Raw genomic sequence first — 21,747 nt, forward strand, 5'->3', positions numbered from 1 at the left:
ATTGTCTAATGAAATGCCCTTCTCCTTGGCCTTTTCCAAAGTCACATTAAATTTGTTCTGAGTATAACCTAGATTGCATTTTGGTCCTTTTCTGTCATTGTTTCACCAACTCCCTCCCTTTTCTGAGCAGAAGGTACCAAAGTAAAAGGACACGTTAGACGGAAGGGGCAAAGACAGTCATTATTATTAATATTGTTAGCTATTTCTGAGCCACATTTAAAAGGCATGGTTCTATAAGCTATGGGCTTTTCTTTTTTTTTTCTTTTTTTCTTACCTCCTTTTGCAGTTTTCCCAGATCTGCACCTTCTGAAGAGCAAATGCACCTTCCTGGGTTTGTCCAAATGCAGATCATTTATGCTCTCTTATCACACACCCACAGAATGCCGCTCTCATACCGCAAAAGCACTGGCTTGCCACATTGTCATGTAGTCTCCCAGAGACCTGTCTATTTCTAGTTGTGTTTTGTGAGGCAGGCAGGAGAGTCTCCTGTGATTACTTCCTCTGATCCTTAAATAAATCTTTCTGGTTGTTTTTTTCTGGGGCGCTTTTCTCCGATTCTCAGAGGGAGCACAGACCCCAAGAAAGGATAAGAACTTCTGGTCTCTCCCAGCTTGTGCTCCTCAGAGCTCATGGTTTCCTTGCTACCAACACCAAGGAAATATCAAAAGGATATTTAAAGAATCATAGGTGCAAACTGATTAGAAGTTTGGCAAAAAGAGAGGTACCTGAAGGGCCAAAAATCTGCCACTTTGAAAACCAACACACAGGGCACTTGGATAGGTTTCTCTCTGTTGCCAGAGTGCCAAAGAAGATTTTTCAGCTAAAAGAATAGCCGGGCTCTGATCAAGAGGACAGAATAATAAAAAGGGTTTGATTAGAGGCAGGATATAGGAAGAAAACCCAGTGTGGGTGGGTATCTAGTAAATGAAAGGCCAGGAAGGCGATGGGGCCTGACTTTTCCATCTCAGCTGAGCCTAGGGCAAGGAAGAGACTTAGGGACTTCTTTTTTTTTTTTTGAGACAGAGTCTCGCACTGTCGTACGGACTGGAGTGCAATGGCACAATCTCGGCTCACTGCAACCTCCGCCTCCCAGGTTCAAGCGATTCTCCTTGCCTCAGCCTCCCAAGTAGCTGGGATTACAGGCTCCCACCACCACGCCCTGCTAATTTTTTTTGTCTTTTTAGTAGAGATGGGGTTTTACTATGCTGGCCAGGTTGGTCTCAAACTCCTGACCTCGTGATCCGCCCACCTCAGCCTCCCAAAGTGCTGGGATTACAGGCATGAGCCACTGCGCCCGGCCTTAGGGACTTCTAATAAAAGACTTAGGGACTTCTAATAAAAATTGAAAGAAAAAAAAAAACTGCCAGGCACGGTAGTTCACACCTGTAATCCCAGCACTTTGGGAAGCCTAGGATGGAGGATCACTTGAGCCCAGGAATTCGAGACCAGCATGGGCGACATAGCAAGACATCATCTCTACAAAATAAATAAATAAAATTAGCCAGGCACAGTGGTGCATGTCCGTAGTCTTAGCTATTCAGGAGACCGAGGTGAAAGGATCACTTGAGCCCAGGAGCTGGAGGCTGCAGTGAGCTATGATCGCAGCACTGCACTCTAGCCTGGGTGACCGAACAAGACCTCGTCTCTTTAAAAAAAAAAAAAGAATTCTGGGATTACAACAGGAGCCCAAGGCTAGAATAATGTATCAAAGGAAACAGGAGATCTCCCCGAATCTGGAGACCTTCAAAAGAGAGCACTTATTTACTTAGGATGAGTGAAGTGGAGGCATTTAACAACTAAGGAGTCTATTGTGCAAAAAACCTTTTCCTTATCTGAGCACAAAACAACACTGTGGGCTTTAGTGAATGTGGATCATTAGGACACCTTGCACTCCCCAGAGTGGGTCTCCCCCTGCATACACTGACATAGCCCCAGCCAAAACAAGCAGCCTTTTCACTCAGCAGTGGTCTGAGAACTACACCGTTAATTTCATGTAAGCTTCTGCAACCATCAGTACCCACAGCTGAGCTGCTGACCAGGAAAACAGTGGCTCCTTCATCACACAGATGCAGACACTCAGTGAATCAAATGAATGGAAATGACTCCTGTCCACAGAGTGCCTTCTCAGTCCCATATTCAAAGTAATTCTGGGAACTGTGGGCCATATGTGCCACTGGTACCCAGGCTAAGCGCCCACCAGCATTACCCTTCCACTCCATTTTGGGGTACCTGAAGTGGCCTATTTTTATTTGTTCTGGACAGGCTCAGTGAGACTCTCATGGAAACATGGAAACATGGAAACATGGAAAAGATCCAAAATAAATCCTTGCCTATAGCTATAGCGTCTAGCACTGGTTCTCAAAGTAAGGTCCCTGGACCTGCAACGTCAGCATCCCTAGGGTACTTGTTAGAAATGCATATTCTCAGGCCCCACCCCAAACCTACTGACTCAGAAACTCTGAGGGTCTAGCCCAGCAATTGTTTTAACAAGCCCTCCAGATGGTTCTGTTGCTGGCTAAAGTTTAAGAACTACTGGCTTATAGCATGGGCTATAAACCAGACTGGGACATTGGGTTGTAAGGACCGTTTAATTGATTCAATCCAAATAGGTTAACTAGAGAATCATAGCTGTCTGCAGGGCCAACCACACTCCAGCCTGGGCGATAGAGCGAGCCTTTGTCTCTAAAAAACAAAAAATAAAATCAATTTTAAAATGATTGCAGGAACCCAAATTCTTACAACTCTGATTTCTTGTGAGAATTAGAAAAAAAAGCTTCCCTTTAGACAGATGAATTAGAAAAAGGTGCCCCTTCTGGGCAGACTCAGCAGGTGCTCTGGGCTTAGGGCTGAATTTGAGCCCCATTTGCCTCCTCTGCTGTGTGTTCATACAGTGCACAAACTGTACACACTGATGCATGGGTAGCTCTAGATGTCTTTCTCTCTAATTAGACACACCACCTCCAGTGCTTAATTAAGAGTCAAGAAAAAAGGACATTGTTGAGGGTAGTGATCATTTGTCAGCCAAGGATGAATTTTGTATCTCTTCTGAGTTTCAGCATTTGGCTGTCACGAAACTGTTTCCCTAAAGAGATTTTATTCTGTTCGTGTTCATTGTAAAGTGTAACCATTTCCATATTGGAGGAGTTGAGTGTGTCTTTCAAAGCCGTGATTGGTCTTTATCCATGAGCCTTGGGTCTCTCTGCACGACTAGAACGCTAATCAGAGAAATAACAACAACGTATTTCAGGAGATGGGGTGAGAGGGAAGGTGGATAAAAATAGGCAGCCCAGTTTCACAAAGGCTTGGTTTTGCTTTACAAATCTGACAGTGTTTTGAGAAAGGAACACAGAACATTGCCAGAAGGAGCCTATGATTGAGGTGAACCTCACGAATGTCTTTGAAAACCTGACTCTAACCAAAAAGTATGAGGGAGGGAGAGTTCTGGCTGCTGTAGACGACACTACCTCATGAAAGTGACTTAGAAATCAGCCTGGAGTCCCTAGAGCAGGTCTAACAATGAGGGAGGCAAGATTAAAATGGAGAAAGAAGCCTGCTAGGGGTTGCATGAGCTGGTTGAGTTCACCAAGCCAGATTTTCCAACGCAACATTTTATGTGTGTGTGCTTGTATTCGTTTATCTGGGGAGAGAATGAATAACTTTCCATCAGATTTTCAGAGGAACCTGTGAACCCTTCCCCTGCCTACTCCCTGCTCCCAATTAAAAACTACAGAAAAAAATCACAACTATAAGGCTGGCACGGTGGCTCACACCTGTAACCCCAGCACTTTGGGAGGCCAAGGCGGGCAGATCACCTGAGGTCAGGAGTTCGAGACCAGCCTGGCCAACATGGTGAAACTCCGTCTCTACTGAAAATACAAAAGTTAGCTAGGCGTGGTTGCGGGCACCTGTAATCCCAGCTACTCAGGAGGCTGAGGTAGGAGAATCGCTTGAACCCGGGAGGCAGAGGTTGCAGTGAGCTGAGATCGCACCATTGCACTCCAGCCTGGGCAACAAGAGTGAAACTCTGTCTCAAAAAAAAAAAAAAAAATCACAACTATAGATTACAGTTCTAGATCTTAGTGGTCTGAATTATGTGGAAAAGGTATACACCACACTTCGAGGACTGGCTACTTTCACTACAAAAAAATGGAGTCACCCTAAGCTTTTTGTAAGAAGCATGTATTGAATTTGTAATCATTGTAAAGGGTTTAAAAAATGGCATTTCTCAAAGGATGGCTACCATTTTGCTGGAGCCAAAGAAGTATCCATTCTTATTTATGATTTCTGGGGCCTCCCTGACCCAACTACTTGTTCAAGACTTTTATTTTGACTTAGAATGATGTAAAAATGACTTCTGTTTTGGTGAAGGAGGCTGAAAGTGAACGGAAATGTTTGTAGAGGGAAATAAAGTATAATGTGCCATTTCACAGATCATTGAATTAGAACAGAAGACTCCCCTTTTTAAAATGTTTGCTGCTGCAACTGTGTGGTACAATGAAGGAAAATTCACGCTTGCAGATGCTTTGTTCAAGGGCATTTGTAGTTTCCATGTGTGTTCAACTGACTTCTAAAGGCCTTTCAAACATATGATCTTGCCTCCACTTCCTGTGAAATTAACCTCCTTTCTTTAAAAATACAATGATTTAAAGAAAATTGCCACCATAAACAAAGCTAAAAGACTAGGGGAAAATATTTGCTGCATATGTAGTCAACAGGATTACCATCTATAATATATAAAGAGGTCCTATAAATTGAAAATTTGGCCAGGTGTGGTTGTTCATACCTGTAATCCCAGCACTTTGGGAGGCCAAGGCAGGAGAATCACTCGAGCTGAGGAGTTTGAGACCAGCCCTGGCAACACAGGGAGACCCCATCTCTACAAAAATTAAAAATTAGCTGGACATGATGGTGTGCCTGTAGTCCCAGCTGCTTGGGAGGCTGAGGTGGAAGGACCACTTGAGTCTGGGAGGTCAAGGCTGCAGGGAACTATGGTCACACCACTGCACTCCAGCCTAGGTGACAGAGCAAAACCCTATCTCAAAAAAAAAAAAAAAAAAAAAAAAAATCAGTCACTCAAGAAAATGGTAAAGGATATGAATAAGTAAATCATAGAAGAAGAAATACAAATAGCCAATAAACTTACTAGTAATCACAAGAACCGTAATGAGAAAAACAAGAAAATAGGACATTTGCCCATCTGATAGCAAAAATTTAAGAGTGATTATATCCAGTTTTCAATATAAAATGATAATCCAATTTAATAAAATATACCATAGAAATGATAAGCACAAACAACTTATGACCCAGCCAATCCACTTCCAGAATTTTATTCTGGAATACACATGAGGCCAGGTGCAGTGGTTCATGCCTGTAATCCCAACACTTTGGGAGACCGAGGCAGGCAGATCACCTTAGGTCAGGAGTTCAAGACCAGCCTGGACAACATGGTGAAACCCCGTCTCTACTAAAAATACAAAAATAGTTAGCTGAGTATGGTGACACGTGCCTGTAATCCCAGCTACTCAGGAGGCTGAGGCAGGAGAATCGCTTGAACCTGGGAGGCAGAGGTTACAGTGAGCCGAGATGGCGCCACTGCACTCCAGCCTGGGGACAGAGTGAGACTCTGTCTCAAAAAAGAAAAAAAGAAAAAGAAATACAAATTGCCCATGAATACATGTACAACAAGTACAAAGCTATTCTGTGTGGTGGTGTTCATATAAGCTAAAAATTAGTCTCAGTGTAAATGTTTACTAACAGGATTATCAATTAACAAATCCCCTGAGACCAGAGCCTCTTTGCCAAAGTGGAGCTGATGGTTGAGGAGGAGATTTTGGCCTCAGCCCAGTCACTGGCAGAGGAGAACGTTCTACTCAGGCCCCATGCAGTATGACCTCACGCCCTGAGATAAGAGTCTGGGATCTGATCTCTCCTCACCTGAAGGAGAGCAAGAAAGAGAAGAAAAGAAATGGCCTCTCCAGAGGGCAAGGAAAGGAAATATTGTCCCACTGAAGTACAGTGAGCAGGGCATGTGTGTTCCCAAAATACTTCCCAGGGCTGTTTAACCTCTGATAGCAGAGTCTCAAAGATATTAGGATGCACTTTCTTTATCAGAAGAAATACCGTACCAGTTGCAATATTCTCTTAAATTAGGCAATTATCCCCAGTATTGCTGGCTTAAGGAGTCTTTATGTAGGAAACCTTATTTAGGAAGAGTAAATTATGACCTTTCACAATCTATAAGTGAAGGGCTGACTGTTTACCAATGTATTTGCAAAGTAATTGACATGGGCTTCCTTTAATTAAGAGTTTGGGCCGGGTGTGGTGGCTCACGCCTGTAATCCCAGCACTTTGGGAGGCCGAGGCGGGTGAATCACAAGGTCAGGAGTTCGCGACCAGCCTGGCCAACATGGTGAAACCCCGTCACTACTAAAAATACAAAAATTAGCTGGGTGTGGTGGCGGGTGCCTGTAATCCCAGCTACTTGGGAGGCTAAGGCAGGAGAATCGCTTGAACCCGGAAGGCCGAGTTTGTGGTAAGCCAAGATATCACACCATTGCACTCCAGCCCGGGTGACAAGAGCGAAACTGAGTCTCAAAAAAAAAAAAAAAAAAAAAAAAAGAGTTGATACACATAAGCATTTGTTTGCTGGAAGCAAAGAAGTCTGAACCTAAATTGTTTGAAGTCACTCTGATCATTGAAAATCAATCAATAATAAAGATGAATCATCATTACTGTATAATCTGTCATTGGGCACATGTAACTGAATTTACTAAAATATTGATTTCTACAAAGATTTTGAGGTCATATATGTTGCAAAAGCTAGACAGTGCATTTTACCAGCTAACCTGAACAGGAGCATTTTCACTTGATTAGGATTTCCATAAATTTCTGAGAAATACTGAAAATATTTACATCATGTTCATACACATTTATAGTCTGTGAGGATATTTCAGGATTTAGACAAACATATTTTCCTTCACAGCAGGGACCATATTATCACCATCTTTTAGAGAACTACTCTACTAGGAATGTTCATTCCTATGTGGCAAAATTGGGAGATTTTCTTTTATAGAATTTTCTGAAATTTCATTTCTTAACTCTTTGTTTAAAAAAAATAATAGGGGATGGCTGGGCGTGGTGGCTCACACCTGTAATCCCAGCACTTTGGGAGGGCGAGGTGGGCGGATCACTTGAGGTCAGGAGTTCGAGACCAGCCTGACCAACATGGTGACACCCCATCTCTACTAAAAATACAAAAATCAGCCGGGCGTGGTGGCACACACCAGTAATCCCAGCTACTCGGGAGGCTGAGGCGGGAGAATCACTTGAACCCGGGAGGCAGAGGTTGCGGTGAGCTGAAATTGCACCAGTGCACTTCAGCCTGGGTGACAGAGTTAGACTCTGTCTCAAAAAAAAAAAAAAAAGAAAAGAAAAGAAACAGGGGATTATGTTTCTAGAGTGAACAGAAATTCTGGAAAAGTCTATCTTCTCCTTACCAATTCCAAATTGACGGTATCCATCTCATAATGATCCAAAATAACAAATTTTTTTTTTTTTTTTGAGACAGAGTCTTGCTCTGTCGCCCAGGCTGGAGTGCAGTGACATGATCTTGACTCACTGCAGCCTCCGTCTCCCAGGTTCAAGCGATTCTTGTACCTCAGCCTCCTGAGTAGCTGGGGGTTACGGGTGTGTGCCACCATACCTGGCTAATTTTTCTATTTTTAGTAGAGACAGGGTTTCACCATGTTGGCCGGGCTGGTCTCCAACTCCTGGCCTCAGGTGATCCGCCCATCTCGGCCTCCCAAAGTGCTGGGATTACAGGCATAAGCCACCCTGCCCAGCCCAACATAACAGATTCTTAAATAATGTTTTTTTTTTTCTTTTCCACAAGCAACGCATATTTGATGTAGAAAATTTCAAAAATGTAGATAAGCAAAAAGAAGGAAATTAAAATTACCTGTAATTCTAACTCTTCAAAATAATCACTGTTAACATTTTGAAATATATCCTTTCAGTGTTTTTTTAATGTAGATAATGGTTTTCTGACTAAATTGATTTCATATGCTATATACAGTTCTTTTTACCTATTTTTTATTTAACAATAGATTAAGGATATCTCTCTAGGATTAACTATTCTTCTACCTAATTTTTAACAATTGCATAGTGCTATCAGTCCCCTGGGTTGTTTTCAATTTTTCATTATTATGAACATTGCTGAACAAGGCAGCAATGAATATCTTTGTTGTTAAACCCTTTTTCACATCCATAAAATGGATACATCTTTGAAAGCCCATAGTCACAAAGTTTAAGCCCCTATCTTGACGTTGAGCTAATTCAAGATGAAGTATGATTTCTGTGGGGATTCAATAGAACAAAAAAACCTATAACTCCTTGGCTTTTGTTTTCCAAATTACTGTCATGCCTGTTGGGATGGTGGGGGGCACCCCCTAATGACATATGTGTAGAGAAACTTCTTTAAATTTTCAACTCCTAGCTAAAAGTGATCGTCTAGTATTATTTCAGATATATTTGTGTTTAAGAAATGTTGATAAGCAGCCATTGAAAGTGATTGTACTGAAAGAATGTGTTGTTATTATTAACTAAGATGCATTTGTTTTCATCATAAAGCAGCATCTCTTTATTGCTTTTTGGTTACCTCGATTTTCTAAAAGAAGAGCATGCTCCTTGCTTGGCCAAGCTGCTGCTTAGCATTCTTGATACTTACATTGCTTATGGACCGCATTTGCGATTGAGGATCTCCAGGTATACCTGGGAATGATCTTCTGCATAAAATAGACCAGGTCTGGATTTAGAGGCACACAGCATCTTGGTCCCAGACCACAGTGAATTAAATCATAAACTCCTGGCAAATCTGCCCTTTGGAAATGAAGAGGATCTCACATGACACATGGATTGATATAAAAAGACACCAAACCACATGATGCAGAAAATACCTAAGGAAAAATTCCAGCTGTGAATGCCCACTCTAAATCCCCACTAAGCCAATTAGTGGTCAGGGTGGCAGAGGAAGCACTTTGTTCGGCATACCATCATTGGTAAAGAGCATGAAGTTCCGCTCTGCCAAGAGAGTAACAGAGGAATGCCTACCTGGGAATATTGCTGATAAAATGTAAAATAACCAAGGAGCCGGGTAGGGGTGGGGGTAAAATGACAGAAGTATTTGAAGTGAGACTAATTGTTATTTATATGCATTTCACATACTGAAGGTGGATGGGTTCCTTATTTAAGTTTTTTTTGTTTGGTTGGTTGGTTTTTTTTGAGACAGGGTCTCACTCTGTCGCCCAGGCTGGAGTGCAGTGGTGTGATCTCAGCTCACTGCAACCTCTGCCTCCCGGGTTCAAGTGCTTCTCCTGTCTCAGCCTCCCATGTAGCTGGGATTACAGGCGCCCTCCACCATGCCCAGCTAATTTTTGTATTTTTAGTAGAGACGGTGTTTCACCATGTTGTCCAGGCTGGTCTTGAACTCCTGACCTCAATTGATCCACCCGCCTTGGCCTCCCAAAGTGCTGGGATTACAGGCATGAGCCACCATGCCTGGCCTGAACATTTTTATCAGTTGGATTAAGACAGGGTTTCTCAACTTTGGTACTATTGACATTTTGGACCAGATAATTTTTTGTTGGGGGCTGGGGGTCCTGTGCATTGTAGGATGCTCCATAGTGTCCCTGGAATCTGCACACTAGATGCCAGTAGCACCCCTTCCCTAGTTCTAACAACCAAAAATGTCACAAAATTGTCCCCCGTTGAGAACCACTAGATTAAGAGATCATTATCCTGAAATACTGAAAAACTGCAGACTTGGGCCAAAAATCATGTCATGTGCCATTTTATTTTTAGATCAGTGTGGGTGGAAGTAGTGCCAGCCATCTTCAAGCTGTTAGCCAAGACTTGAGGTTCAGTATAGACCTGCACTCTCTGACGCCATGCATTCTGTGCAAATTTACATCTGTGTGCAAGTTGCACCAAATCTCAATTGTACCAGTGAATATCATTGCTCTGCCTTCTACATCCTGCCTCCTATAACAGCAATGAAAGTGTCCTTTCTGTTGTTGAATGCATTGATTTAAACAACCTCTAAATCTATTTTGAAAGCTATGTGGAAGGTAAGTATTAAACCAAGCAAAACTGACCCTCTGTCCCCAATGGGATCTTCTAATGATGCTTTAGGAGATCTCAGGCTATGGTACTGCCCACATGCTAATACTTTCTACCCAAACCTAGCTCACTTTACAAGAATCACCCCTAAATAATTTCCACTCTTCTCTGTTCTAAGACTATTTTGACTTAACTTCCTTGCCCTCACTCCCCCTTTGGTTGGTTTAGCTAACTTTATGACTTACTCATCATAAAGTTAGACAAGTCTCTGCTTTTTTAAACCTCCTTGGCTACTGCTCAGCTACCATCTTTCCCTAAAGTGTCCCCATTGAAAGTTTGCATCTAATAACGGAAGTTGCCAACATCTTGACCTCTTTCAGATATGACAATGGATGATGTTCGGGAATACGAGAAAAACATGCATGAACAAACCAACATAAAAGTTTGCAATCAGCATTCCTCCCCTGTGGATGACATAGAGAGTCATGCCCAAACAAGTGTACGTAGAATTTTTAAAACATGTTGCCCACCCTTTCACAAATGCACATGTAAACTGATCTGGGAAATACTGCAGATGCCCGGTTCGCAACCTTCCATAGAAACATGTCGTCACCCAGACCCTGTTGCTGCAGAACCTGAGCTGGATCTAAATTGGGCAGTGTCACCTCTCTCTTCCAGACATTTCGATCCCTTAAAGTTGCTTGACGTGGAGGTTATTTCGGTCATAAAACCAAGAACATGGAGAGTGGAAACACTTTTGTGGGACTAGTAAAACGGCCTGCACCATAAAAGAGCAGAGGAGTGAAAATCGATGTCATATGTAAACTAGAATAACATGTCAGTAACTTTTAAAAACATAGCTAACACTCACTTATTCATTCAAGGGAGGGCTTCTGGCTCATCAGCTATTTTAGGTTTCTTTACATTTGCTTTGAAAAGCTTTCTGTGGCTCTTTATAGCTGTTTTACCCAATCAGTTCCTTTTTACTTAGGATAATCTCAAGATGGGCTGCAGTCTGTGCAGACACACAGGCTGAGCAGTGAAGGGGTGTGAGCTGGGGATGTGCTGAGCTGCCTAGCAGATCCCTGGGACTTAGGGTAAGCCTTAGAGAGCCTCAGTTATTTCGTTGCACACTGGAAATTGAGAGCTGACTGTATATTGTATGCCAGCATTTTAAGTATCGTAATCTCTCAATCATTCATGCTAATGAAGGGTAGCTAGAGATAACAAAGAAAAGTGTAATCACCAAATCATTTCTTTGCATCTTCAGCCAGAGCTGTGATCTCTTTGGGTTCCGCCTTGAGTCCTCATGTCCATTAGCCCAGTCTCCAGAATAATACATAGTAGGTGTTAAAAAAAAAAAAAAAAATCAGCTGGGCGCGGTGGCTCATGCCTGTAAGCCCAGCACTTTGGGAGGCCGAGGCAGGTGGATCACCTGAGGTCGGGGGTTCGAGACAAGCCTGACCAACATGGAGAAACCTCGTCTCTACTTAAAATACAAAATTAGCTGGGTGTGGTGGCGCATGCCTGTAATCCTAGCTACTCAGGAGGCTAAGGCAGGAGAATTGCTTGAACCTGGGAGGCAGAGGTTGCAGTGAGCCAAGATCGCGCCATTGCACTCCAGCCTGGGCAACAAGAGCAAAATTCTGTCTCAAAAAAAAAAAAATCAATGCTGTAGTTCTAGGAAATTTAGATGTGGCTGTTGTCATAAATGGATCCTTTAGAATTGTGAAGACCTTCTGATTGCACTTTGGAAATTTTTAGTTAAATTTTTGGAGCATGTCTTTGGAATGTGCCCTGCAAGTCTCATGTGCTGCAACTGGTTGCATGTGATTGCCCTTGAGGTTGCAAGGGCCCTAACTCTTCTCCCATTTTGCATGCAGTGATCTGATTTGCAGGAAACTGTTGGAGCAAGAGGCGTTTCCTCTCTATGCACAGACCAATTCCAGTAGGACTTCCCCCTAGAAGTGCTCTTTAAGGAAACTCTCCTTGAATTTCTATCACTTTCAATTACCTTTTCTTTTAGAAATGTTGGGCCCCAGTTCCCCCTCAGCCACTCTGAAAGCCATTCACTATAAATATGACCAGGCAAACAAAGGAAGAAGCCACAGGTAAAGAGGAGACACCAGATGGCTAAAAGATGCTAAGCTCAGTGATTTTCTCACAGCTTATAAGCCCCTTGGCTTGGCTTTCTTTCAGTTTTACTGTGATTATTACTTTATAATTAAAGTCCATGGCTGGGTGCGGTGGCTCACGCCTGTAATCCCAGCACTTTGGGATGCCAAGGCGGGCGTATCACCTGAGGTCGGGAGTTCAAGACCAGCCTGACCAACATGAAGAAACCCCGTCTCTACTAAAAATACAAAATTAGCTGGGCGTGGTGGCGCATGCCTGTAATCCCAGCTACTCGGGAGGCTGAGGCAGGAGAATCGTTTGAACCCAGGAGATGGAGGTTGCAGTGAGCAGAGATTGTGCCACTGCACTCCAGCCTGGGCAACAAGAGTGCAACTCCATCTCAAATAAATAAATAAATAAATAAAGTAAAATAAATAAATAAAGTAAAATAAAAAATAAAGTCCACTTACTATGTAGAAGGTGATAACGTAGAGTGGTTCTTCCCATGGAAAAGCCCACATAATCTCTGGCTGCCCCTCAGCGTTGTTCCCGTGACTTCAGGGTGAAAGATGCCTGCCACCGGAGAAGTTACACAAAGTGGTTATTTTGAATGCTTATGACATTTCCATTATCCTTTGGAATTCCGTGAAATTGGAGCACATTTATTTTTCCTTAGTCTTTCTCCTGTATCATAATGAAAAGCAGTGAAAATCAGGAGGTGGCTCTTTGTCACAAATAAAAACTGCATGGGTGCTAAATGAATTTTAGATCATCAACCCAAGCAGGGACAAATTAGATTGAAATTAGGCAAAATTAACATCCATGAACACAGCAGTGAGGAAATAAGTCTTTTCAATTGAGCAGGTTCAAAGCCTTCAAGGACGGGAACTTCTAAGAGCCTCTGGGAGTGGAAAATCAAAATTCTGTGCTTTAGATTATTTCTGCCCCCTGCTGGCTATGTGGAGTAGAACAATGTATTCAGCCACTTGATTAAGAAAGTCTGCTTTTTCAAAGATAATATCCATTTATCATAGCAAAAACATAACATACCCTGATACACTAAAATTTTTCTCAGTCTCAACTTTATTGTGAAATAAATGCCTCTTTTTATATAACCTTAATCTCACTTCTTAGCTCATTTAATAGTCTTCCATGTTTTTAAAAATTGGTAAGTTTATAGGTACAATTTTTCTTGATATATGCTGAATTTTATATCTTATCCACATAGTCATAATGACTTATATCCTTTGTAAAAACTTTCCCTTTCAGAAAATTTTAATAATTGTTCCCAGGAAATCCTCTTAAGGATTTCATTTTGTGAAAAATACTTCTGGTTTGCTCAGATGTTATAAAACCTAAAGATTAAGCTGGGCACGGTGGCTCATGCCTATAATCCCAGCACTTTGGGAGGCTGAGGTGGACGGATGACCTGAGGTCAGGAGTTCGAGACCAGCCTGGCCAACATGGTGAAACCCCATCTCTACTAATAACACAAAAATTAGCCGGGCGTGGTGGCAGACGCCTGTAATCCCAGCTACTCGGGAGGCTGAGGCAGGAGAATCGCTTGAACCCCGGAGGCGGAAGTTGCAGTGAGCCGAGATCTCGCCGTTGCACTCCAGCCTGGGAGACAAGAGCAAAACTCTGTCTCAAAAAAAAAAAAAAAGAAAAAGAAAAGTCCTAAGGATTAATACTGTGTTATGAATATTCATTACATACTCAGTATTTCCAAAGTGGCTATATTGTTTCCTGCTGGTTATTCCCTCCAATATTATCTAATGAAGTTTCAACTGCTAAGTACATGGCAGTGGACAAGAAACAATGAAAAATGGGTCTCTGGGGGGCCAAAACAGATACAGAAAATCCGCGGGCACTAAATTTTGCATTTTGCTCCAGGATAAGCCTTGGGCCTTGACTCAGTCTTTAATAAGCCCAGGTTCCTCTTTTCCCTGTTCCCAGCAAGTAAAAATGGCAAAGGATACCAGGGATAGCCAGGGTAACAATAATTAATAATAACAGTAATAAGGCTGGGCACGGTGGCTCAGGTCTGTAATCCCAGCACTTTGGGAGTCTGAGGCAGGTGGATCACGAGGTTAGGAGTTCGAGACCAGCCTGGCCAACATGGTGAAACCCTGTCTCTGCTAAAAGTACAAAAATTAGCAGGGCATGGTGGCACGTGCCTGTAGTCCCAGCTATTCAGGAGGCTGAGGCAGGAGAATTACTTGAACCCAGGAGGTGGAGGTTGCAGTGAGCCAAGATCACGCCATTGCACTCCGGCCTGTGCAACAGAGCAAGACTCTATCTCAAATAAATAAATAAATAAATAAATAAATAATAACAGTAATAATAGAGTTTCTGAGCATGAGAGAAGAGATATCAAGCCATAAAGAGCAAATAGACCCTGAGAAGGAACTAAGGAACTGTATTTTTGCACAGTGATATATCTTCAACATATTATGTCTCAAATGTAGGAAGTATGTATAATACATTAAACACATTAGGGAAAGATTTACATTTTTTAAATACTGTTTTTACTTTCTCACTTAAATAAGAACATTTCAGGTATTTGGAAAACCTACATTATCCAACAATGATTATTAACAGTGGTATCACTGTCTTATTTGTTGAATTCCAAGTCATGCTTTTTTTTCTTTTAAATAGAATCCTCACTATTAAATGATCCTCTCCTTTCATTCTCTATTCTTTTTAAGTTTCCTCAAGAAATGGTTTTATTTTCTTGGCTTTGGAATGATTAGCAGGGTGTGGTGAAATTGTTGATTTACGTGTTTTTGAAACTGAATTTATTAAAACACAATCTCTGAACCTTCTTAGGATCGACACACAGTCAGGAAACCAGAAACAACAGCATCTTTGTGGCCCCTCAGAATAAAAAAGTATATGTATTGATTAAGAAGATAGCATGTTGGCCTGAGTACAGTGGCTCACGCCTGTAATCCCAACACTTTGGGAGGCTTAGGCAGGCGGATCACTTGAGGTGAGGAATTCAAGACCAGCCTAGGCAACATAGCGAGACCCTGTCTCTACAGAAAATACAAAAAAATTAAACCAGGCATTATGGCATGCACCTGTGGTTTCAGCCTCACGGGGCCCTAATGCAGGAGGATCACTTGAGCCCAGGAGGTCGAGACTGCCGTGAGTCATGATCGCACCACTGCACTCCAGCCTGGGTGATGCAGTGAGATCCCGTCTCAGAAAGAAAAAAAAAAAAGAAGATAGTATGTTGAAAAATCCTGATGATTTACCTGTTTACCCTATAAAGGTATACTTTCATGATCTAAAGTTGACAATAATGACAATAATATGTGTCATTTCAGGGCCATTGATTGTTTTAATTACCTTCTCTTTATGAAAAATATGACCAGTTAATTATAGCTCCAAATACCCCACACCAGACCCACAACAACACAGATGCACACGGGTGCACACACATACACACACACAGGCACATATTTCCCCCGTCTAGTTCTGTATTCTACTGTTAAGTCCTTATTGAGAATACTTAAAATACTCACTGTGAAGAGTGCTTTGGAAAATCTTAAATGGATAATCATAAAGGGATATTGTTTTCAGGGTGTAGCTTCCAATAGAAAAAATTGGGGGTTTGGTATTTCAATGATACTTTGGGTGTATAATCGGGAGAGGCCCCTTTATGATAGGGTTCCCATAGTTCCTGTAAAAACAAGGGTAGTGATGAATCTATTTGCCTCTCTTATAAATAACTGCTCGTTTTTCTTTCTGTTTTTCTCCTTGAAGACATGACAATGGATGAAGTCCGAGAATTTGAACGAGCCACTCAGGAAGCCACCAACAAGAAAATCGGCATTTTCCCACCTGCAATTTCTATCTCCAGCATCCCCCTGCTGCCTTCTTCCGTCCGCAGTGCGCCTTCTAGTGCTCCATCCACCCCTCTCTCCACAGACGCACCCGAATTTCTGTCCGTTCCCAAAGATCGGCCCCGGAAAAAGTCTGCCCCAGAAACTCTCACACTTCCAGACCCTGAGAAAAAAGCCACCCTGAATTTACCCGGCATGCACTCTTCAGATAAGCCATGTCGGCCCAAATCTGAGTAACTTTATATAAATATCTCATGGGGTTTTATATTTTCATTTGTTGTTGTTGTTTTTTTTTAAGAATCTTCTGATAGAGAAAAAGACTGCTTTGTCACTCAAACATGTTCCTTCGACCTTTCAGTGTGCATGTGACTCAGTAACTTCACATAGAATATGATTCCCTAAGTATGCTACACAGCATCATATTAGATGTAAGATGTAAGACTTGCAAAGGACAGAAGGAATCTTCTGTAACCACATAGCTGTATGCCAGAGAGGAAGCCTTGTTATTGGGCATTTGATGAGGTTTGGCATGGACTTCAAGGATAAATGAATGAAAACTTTGCACCACTTTTGTTACAAGGTACGGTAGAAAATAGTGAAGTCAGTTTCCTCTCATCAAATCTAAAATTCTCCAAAATACTCTCAGGCATAACATACTTAGCTGTTAAATTTTGAACTGCTAATTACTAATACTTGAATACCAATAGTTACTGAGATTCCTATTTTGTGGTTAGTCTGACTCAGGATTTGGAGCCTAATTAACTCTAAACTTTTGAAAATTTTAATCATCAAGCTATAGAGGCTCCAAGTGCAATTAATAATAACTCATTTATACCTTCCACAGAATTTAATAAAGATTCTACTTGTTTCTGTCTTTTAATAACTTTCCCCTTTTGTGCCCTTGTGGCCTCAGAAATCCTTAAGAATTGCATGGATGAATGTGACCATAACTGATTTTGGAATGGTTCAGTTTAGGAACCAAGAGGCCCAGGTGAGGCAACATCTTTTTTCTCTACAGGTACCAACAAACCTTGACTTGTCAGCTTCCATCATCAATTAAGATTCTCAGAATTTGCAATTAATTGAATAGAATTCATTTACTATCTGCCCACTCAAAGAAGTACAAGGGTAGAGTAAGCTAACTGGGCTTTAACATGGTCAGAATGTCTGGTGCATGAACTATAAAAAAGAGAACTGTCTCCCATCCCCTTCCTTGTTTTACTCTTAGTAACATCCAGAATTCCCTGGAACAGATTGCCTACCACCAGACCTTAGAAAAGACTGTCATTCTCTTGCTCCTTACTTGAAATACAAATATTGGGAATGTCACAGACATCAAGCAACTACTGTCAAGTGGGAGGAGAGAATGAGCAGAATTGCTGACTCCTATTTGTAGAGTGAAAAGGAGGAGTGATAATAGATGCCCTTCTGTCTAGCTTTCCTTTCTTCAACTAGTGGTAATGCAAGATTAGAATCAAGGTTGACAGGAGGCAAGGTCACTCACTGAAGTGACAGAAAGACAATTCTCCTTTGCTCCAAAGAGAGAAATCTGTCACCTTTGCACCTCACTGCCTTTAAACACAGACGGGAGGGCAGGCCAAATCTCAGCATTGACTTTTGTCCTCCAAGAGAGGAAGAGAAGAAGTAATTGGGCAACTTGGAGGCCCACGCCCCAGCTAGCCTTCCTGATCGTAACCTCCAACCTCAGGAAAGGGACCTTCCCAAAACACAGATCCCAAAGGAAACAAAATAGACCAAGGAGCATAATCTGCTTCTCTCACACAGCCTCTCTGCCAGTGGACCCTGCCTGCTTCCCTCTCAGTGCTCAGCACTCTGTGTAGTGTCTTTCAGGTTGATACACTCTCCCAAGGTGCAGGCGCTGGCCCCATGAGCCCAGCACCAAAGTTTTCTAAGTCATAGGTCAGACTGTCAAGATCATTTCTTTATCTATAGGTTGATATTTAGCTTAAAAAAAAAGAATAAACCTAGAACTCAAAGGAAACCTGTTGCAAATAGCTTAGATCAACAGTGTATCTCTTCCCTAAGAATGATAGTATCTTAGTAAGACACCTTCTATGCATGGTATGGAAGCATGATTTTTGCTTGTGGGAAAACCTAATATTTTATCAGACCCCTCGGACTTCTCAATCCCTCCCTCTCCACACAGTAGTACTTAATGAAAATGTTTTGCTTTAGAGAGCAAAATGCTACTTTCAGAAGACACTGAAATAGTATATGTATTTGCTTACCATTTGCAAGCTAAAATCAAGGTGGGATGGGGTCATTATTTTCACATAGAATGTATTTATTTTGTGCAGGCTGTTAAACACATCTGGCACCTAGTTTTTCCATTAAGAGCATTGCTATTTTCCCTTTTTATAAAGTAGCTTCTGCTGTCAAGGTTAACAATTCTATATGCTTTAGGAAGCTAAGTTCTAATTTCCTTTTGTGAGTTTCATTTCTTTTATAACCAGTATGTTACCACAGACATCAGTTGCAAAGCTACGATGATAGTGTGATTCTTAGCCGAAAAAAAAGCGTGTGCTCTTAAAGTATGTTCAGTTTTTCTGTCTACATATGCTTTGTGTGAGTTAAAAAGGGGGTGGGTGGTGTAAATATTCCTTTAGCTGCTTTGCATATTTAACCCAGTCATCAAAAGGCATAAATGACTTCAATATTTTATATATCTTGGTTTTCAAGTATCATTTCACATTCTCTATACATGACTTTGTTATTGTGGAATACAAGCCTGCAATGGATGTATATATACAGAACATTAATAATTCTTAGAAGGATGGAAGCCAAATGGCTGCATGATGGAAATTAGAAGAAAAAAAAAGCAGAAACTTGAATTTGCTAAGCATGTTTGGGGGGAAATAGAATCCTTAACTCAGTGCCTCTGTCTGCGATATGGAAACCTTCAACTTTGTTCACCAAAATTGTATTATACCTGTGTATATATATATATATATATATATATAAATATAAATATAGTATAGTGAATCAGACACCATCAGTTTTAAGTCTCTGGTAGCCAAACTTAAATAAATAATCCATAGAATATCACATACGTTCACTCCATCTTCATCTCTGAAGTTAGTGGAGACCATCAAAATGACTGTACATTTCATAACTCTGGGAAGATTTCAAATGTGAAGTGCCCCTGTGCATTTTCTTGGCCATAGCACGGCATTCTTGCTTTAGCTGTGCTTTCCTGGGATGAGAAGATCTTGGTGTATTTAACACATAAGCTTTGTTAGAAATCACCTCTGAAGATCATTTCATTTTCTCACTTTGGGTTGTTGCAAGACAAAGCAAAGGAAAAGGAACACAATGAAGGAGGCCGTGACATTTTTAGTTGCCACCGTTGTAACTCAAACAATATGGGTTTGTTGGTGAACTGATTTATCAAGGCTTCTGTTACGGTTTTGCATCTGTGTGTGAGGAAAATTTTAATTTATTTGGAAGTATTTATTAGCCATGTTGTTGGTCCTGAAAATAAATCTCTAAGTAGCACAGTTGTGGGTATATTATGCAGACACTTACCACAATACCTGCAAAAGTAACTGTGGTTTTCTTTCAAGACACTGTAATAAACAGTGAACTAAGAGAATAGATTCTGATACATCTCGATAAATCATTCTCTGCAAAAGTTTCAGGGCTAATGTATTTATGTGTATTTTTAAATTCTACTTTCTTTGGCATCTCTTCATGGCTCAGCGACAACAAAGTAATAGGTCATTGGCTGGCTTACGTCGATAGGAATTTTACTCTTAAGAAGGGCCAGTGTATAGCTGACTCTACATATAATGTGTAATCAGATAATCCAATAGAGAGGAATTGTCCAAATAGTTTTAGTACCTTTCTGATCATCTGACTCAGTAGGCTAGGAGACAATCTGTCATCTGAGCCATAGTTCTTGAGATTTAAAAAGTCTGTCCAGTGACTGCAATCTGATTATGAATAAACTATTTTAACTATTCATTCTTGCTGAAACTGAAGTGTACACAATAGCACACTGTTGGCATGCTGAGGCAAAACATTGGGTTCTTTTGTGTTCTACCTTCAAAACAATCTGTTTGCATTTGAAATATAAGTGTTTAAGCTTTTTAGGAGTTAGTGTAATAAGAGAATGTGAATATGTTGGGAAATTTTCAGATGCCATTAATAATTGTAATTTTGTTGTTAAATTAACAAGGACTTTAGGATAAGCCTCTTGATGTTTTTTGCTTTAAATTGAAAGCATGTCTGTCAAATTGCAAGTCTCCCTTCAGTTTCTATATATCACCCAGGAGAGGGTCTCTGAGTTGGTGTTGTACCTGTACCACTCACATGTAGCTCAAGTGTAATTTGTAGTGTTTACATTCAAGCTGGGATCTTGATTGGTTAAATTAATCCACATACCACTGCCACTGCTGAAGGACCAGGTGTTGGAATACACAGCATTACAGACTATAAGCAAAGCAAACAAAAGTTGATCCTTACATATGCCATCCTTCTGTGTCATTTTGTGGCTGTTCTGTGTTTTTCTTCCTAGTTATTTATTATTGTTAATAACTTACTTTTTCTTACATTCTGTTGTAAATAAAATACAAAGCAATCTTCTTTGCAAGCGTAGCTTCCTCTCTCTCTCTCTCGCTCGCCCTCTCTCTCTCTCTCTCTCTCTCCTCTTTAGCTATTCTCGAGGGAATGTTAGTAATTGTTCACCTGTGGGTTGATGGGCTTGCTTCTTTTCCTCTATGGATTTTTTTACCCATCCCCATACCACTGCCACTGCTGAAGGACCAGGTGTTGGAATACACAGCATTACAGACTATAAGCAAAGCAAACAAAAGTTGATCCTCACAGATGCCATCCTTCTGTGTCATTGTGTGGCCTTGCCTGCTAGTAGGCATATGGCACCTTCAGGACCCTTGGTAGGAAAAGTCTGAGTGTCTGCACTAATTATCCAGCCAAAAATTACACAAGGTGGCCAGCCAGGCCAACATGGCGAAACACCATCTCTACTGAAAATACAAAAATTTCCCAGCCGTGGTGGCACACGCCTGTAGTCGCAGCTACTCAGGAGGCTGAGGAATGAGAATCACTTGAACCCTGGAGGTGGAGGCTTCAGTGAGCTAAGATCACGCCACTGCTGTCCACTCTGGGTGTGAAAGAGCAAGAGCCTGTCTCAAAAAGACAAAACAAAACAAAAAAACCCTGGCTGAGGCCGGGCGCAGTGGCTCACACCTGTAATCTCAGCACTTTGGGAAGCCGAGGCGGGCAGATCACGAGGTCAGGAGATCGAGACCATCCTGGCTAACACGGTGAAACCCCGTCTCTACTAAAAGTACAAAAAATTAGCCGGGCGCGGTGGCGGTCGCCTGTAGTCCTAGCTACTCGGGAGGCTGAGGCAGGAGAATGGCGTGAACCCGGGAGGCGGAGCTTGCAGTGAGCCGAGGTCACATCACTGCACTCCAGTGACAGAGCGAGACTCCGTCTCAAAAAAAAAAAAACCCGAGGTGAATCTGTAACCCAGTGGGATACTCATGCATCCGTCCACCAGGTGCTTGGTTCCCTCGCCTCGAATGTGAAGCTATCCACCCTGAGGGAATCTGTAGGAACACCATCCCAGTGGTGTTCCTAGATTCTCTCCACTGAAGGTTGGGCCAGTTTTTAAGGTGAG

At 41.7% G+C, this 21,747-nt stretch overlaps 1 protein-coding gene and 1 long non-coding RNA gene across 6 annotated transcripts in view; one reads left to right on the plus strand and one right to left on the minus strand.

The window, feature by feature from the left end:
* PITPNC1 (phosphatidylinositol transfer protein cytoplasmic 1) overlaps nt 1-20,687 on the plus strand; it is a 319,976-nt gene extending 299,289 nt beyond the window's left edge. For 2 of the 3 annotated variants that reach the window (NM_012417.4, XM_047435746.1), the window contains exon 9: nt 16,003-20,687. In NM_012417.4, the coding sequence (NP_036549.2) occupies nt 16,003-16,319 (317 nt within the window). In that variant the 3' untranslated portion in view covers nt 16,320-20,687. Of the gene's footprint in view, nt 1-10,496; nt 10,616-16,002 lie in introns of all 3 variants that reach the window. The other variant, NM_181671.3, reaches the window with a different exon arrangement.
* LOC101928045 (uncharacterized) overlaps nt 1-21,747 on the minus strand; it is a 42,523-nt gene that overhangs the window by 1,414 nt on the left and 19,362 nt on the right. For all 3 annotated transcript variants that reach the window (NR_188293.1, NR_188294.1, NR_188292.1), the window contains one exon: nt 12,702-12,804. This is a non-coding gene — a long non-coding RNA (uncharacterized LOC101928045). The remainder of the gene's footprint in view (nt 1-12,701; nt 12,805-21,747) is intronic.

The sequence above is a fragment of the Homo sapiens genome, chromosome 17, assembly GCF_000001405.40.
Source record: "Homo sapiens chromosome 17, GRCh38.p14 Primary Assembly".
NCBI lineage: Eukaryota > Metazoa > Chordata > Mammalia > Primates > Hominidae > Homo > Homo sapiens.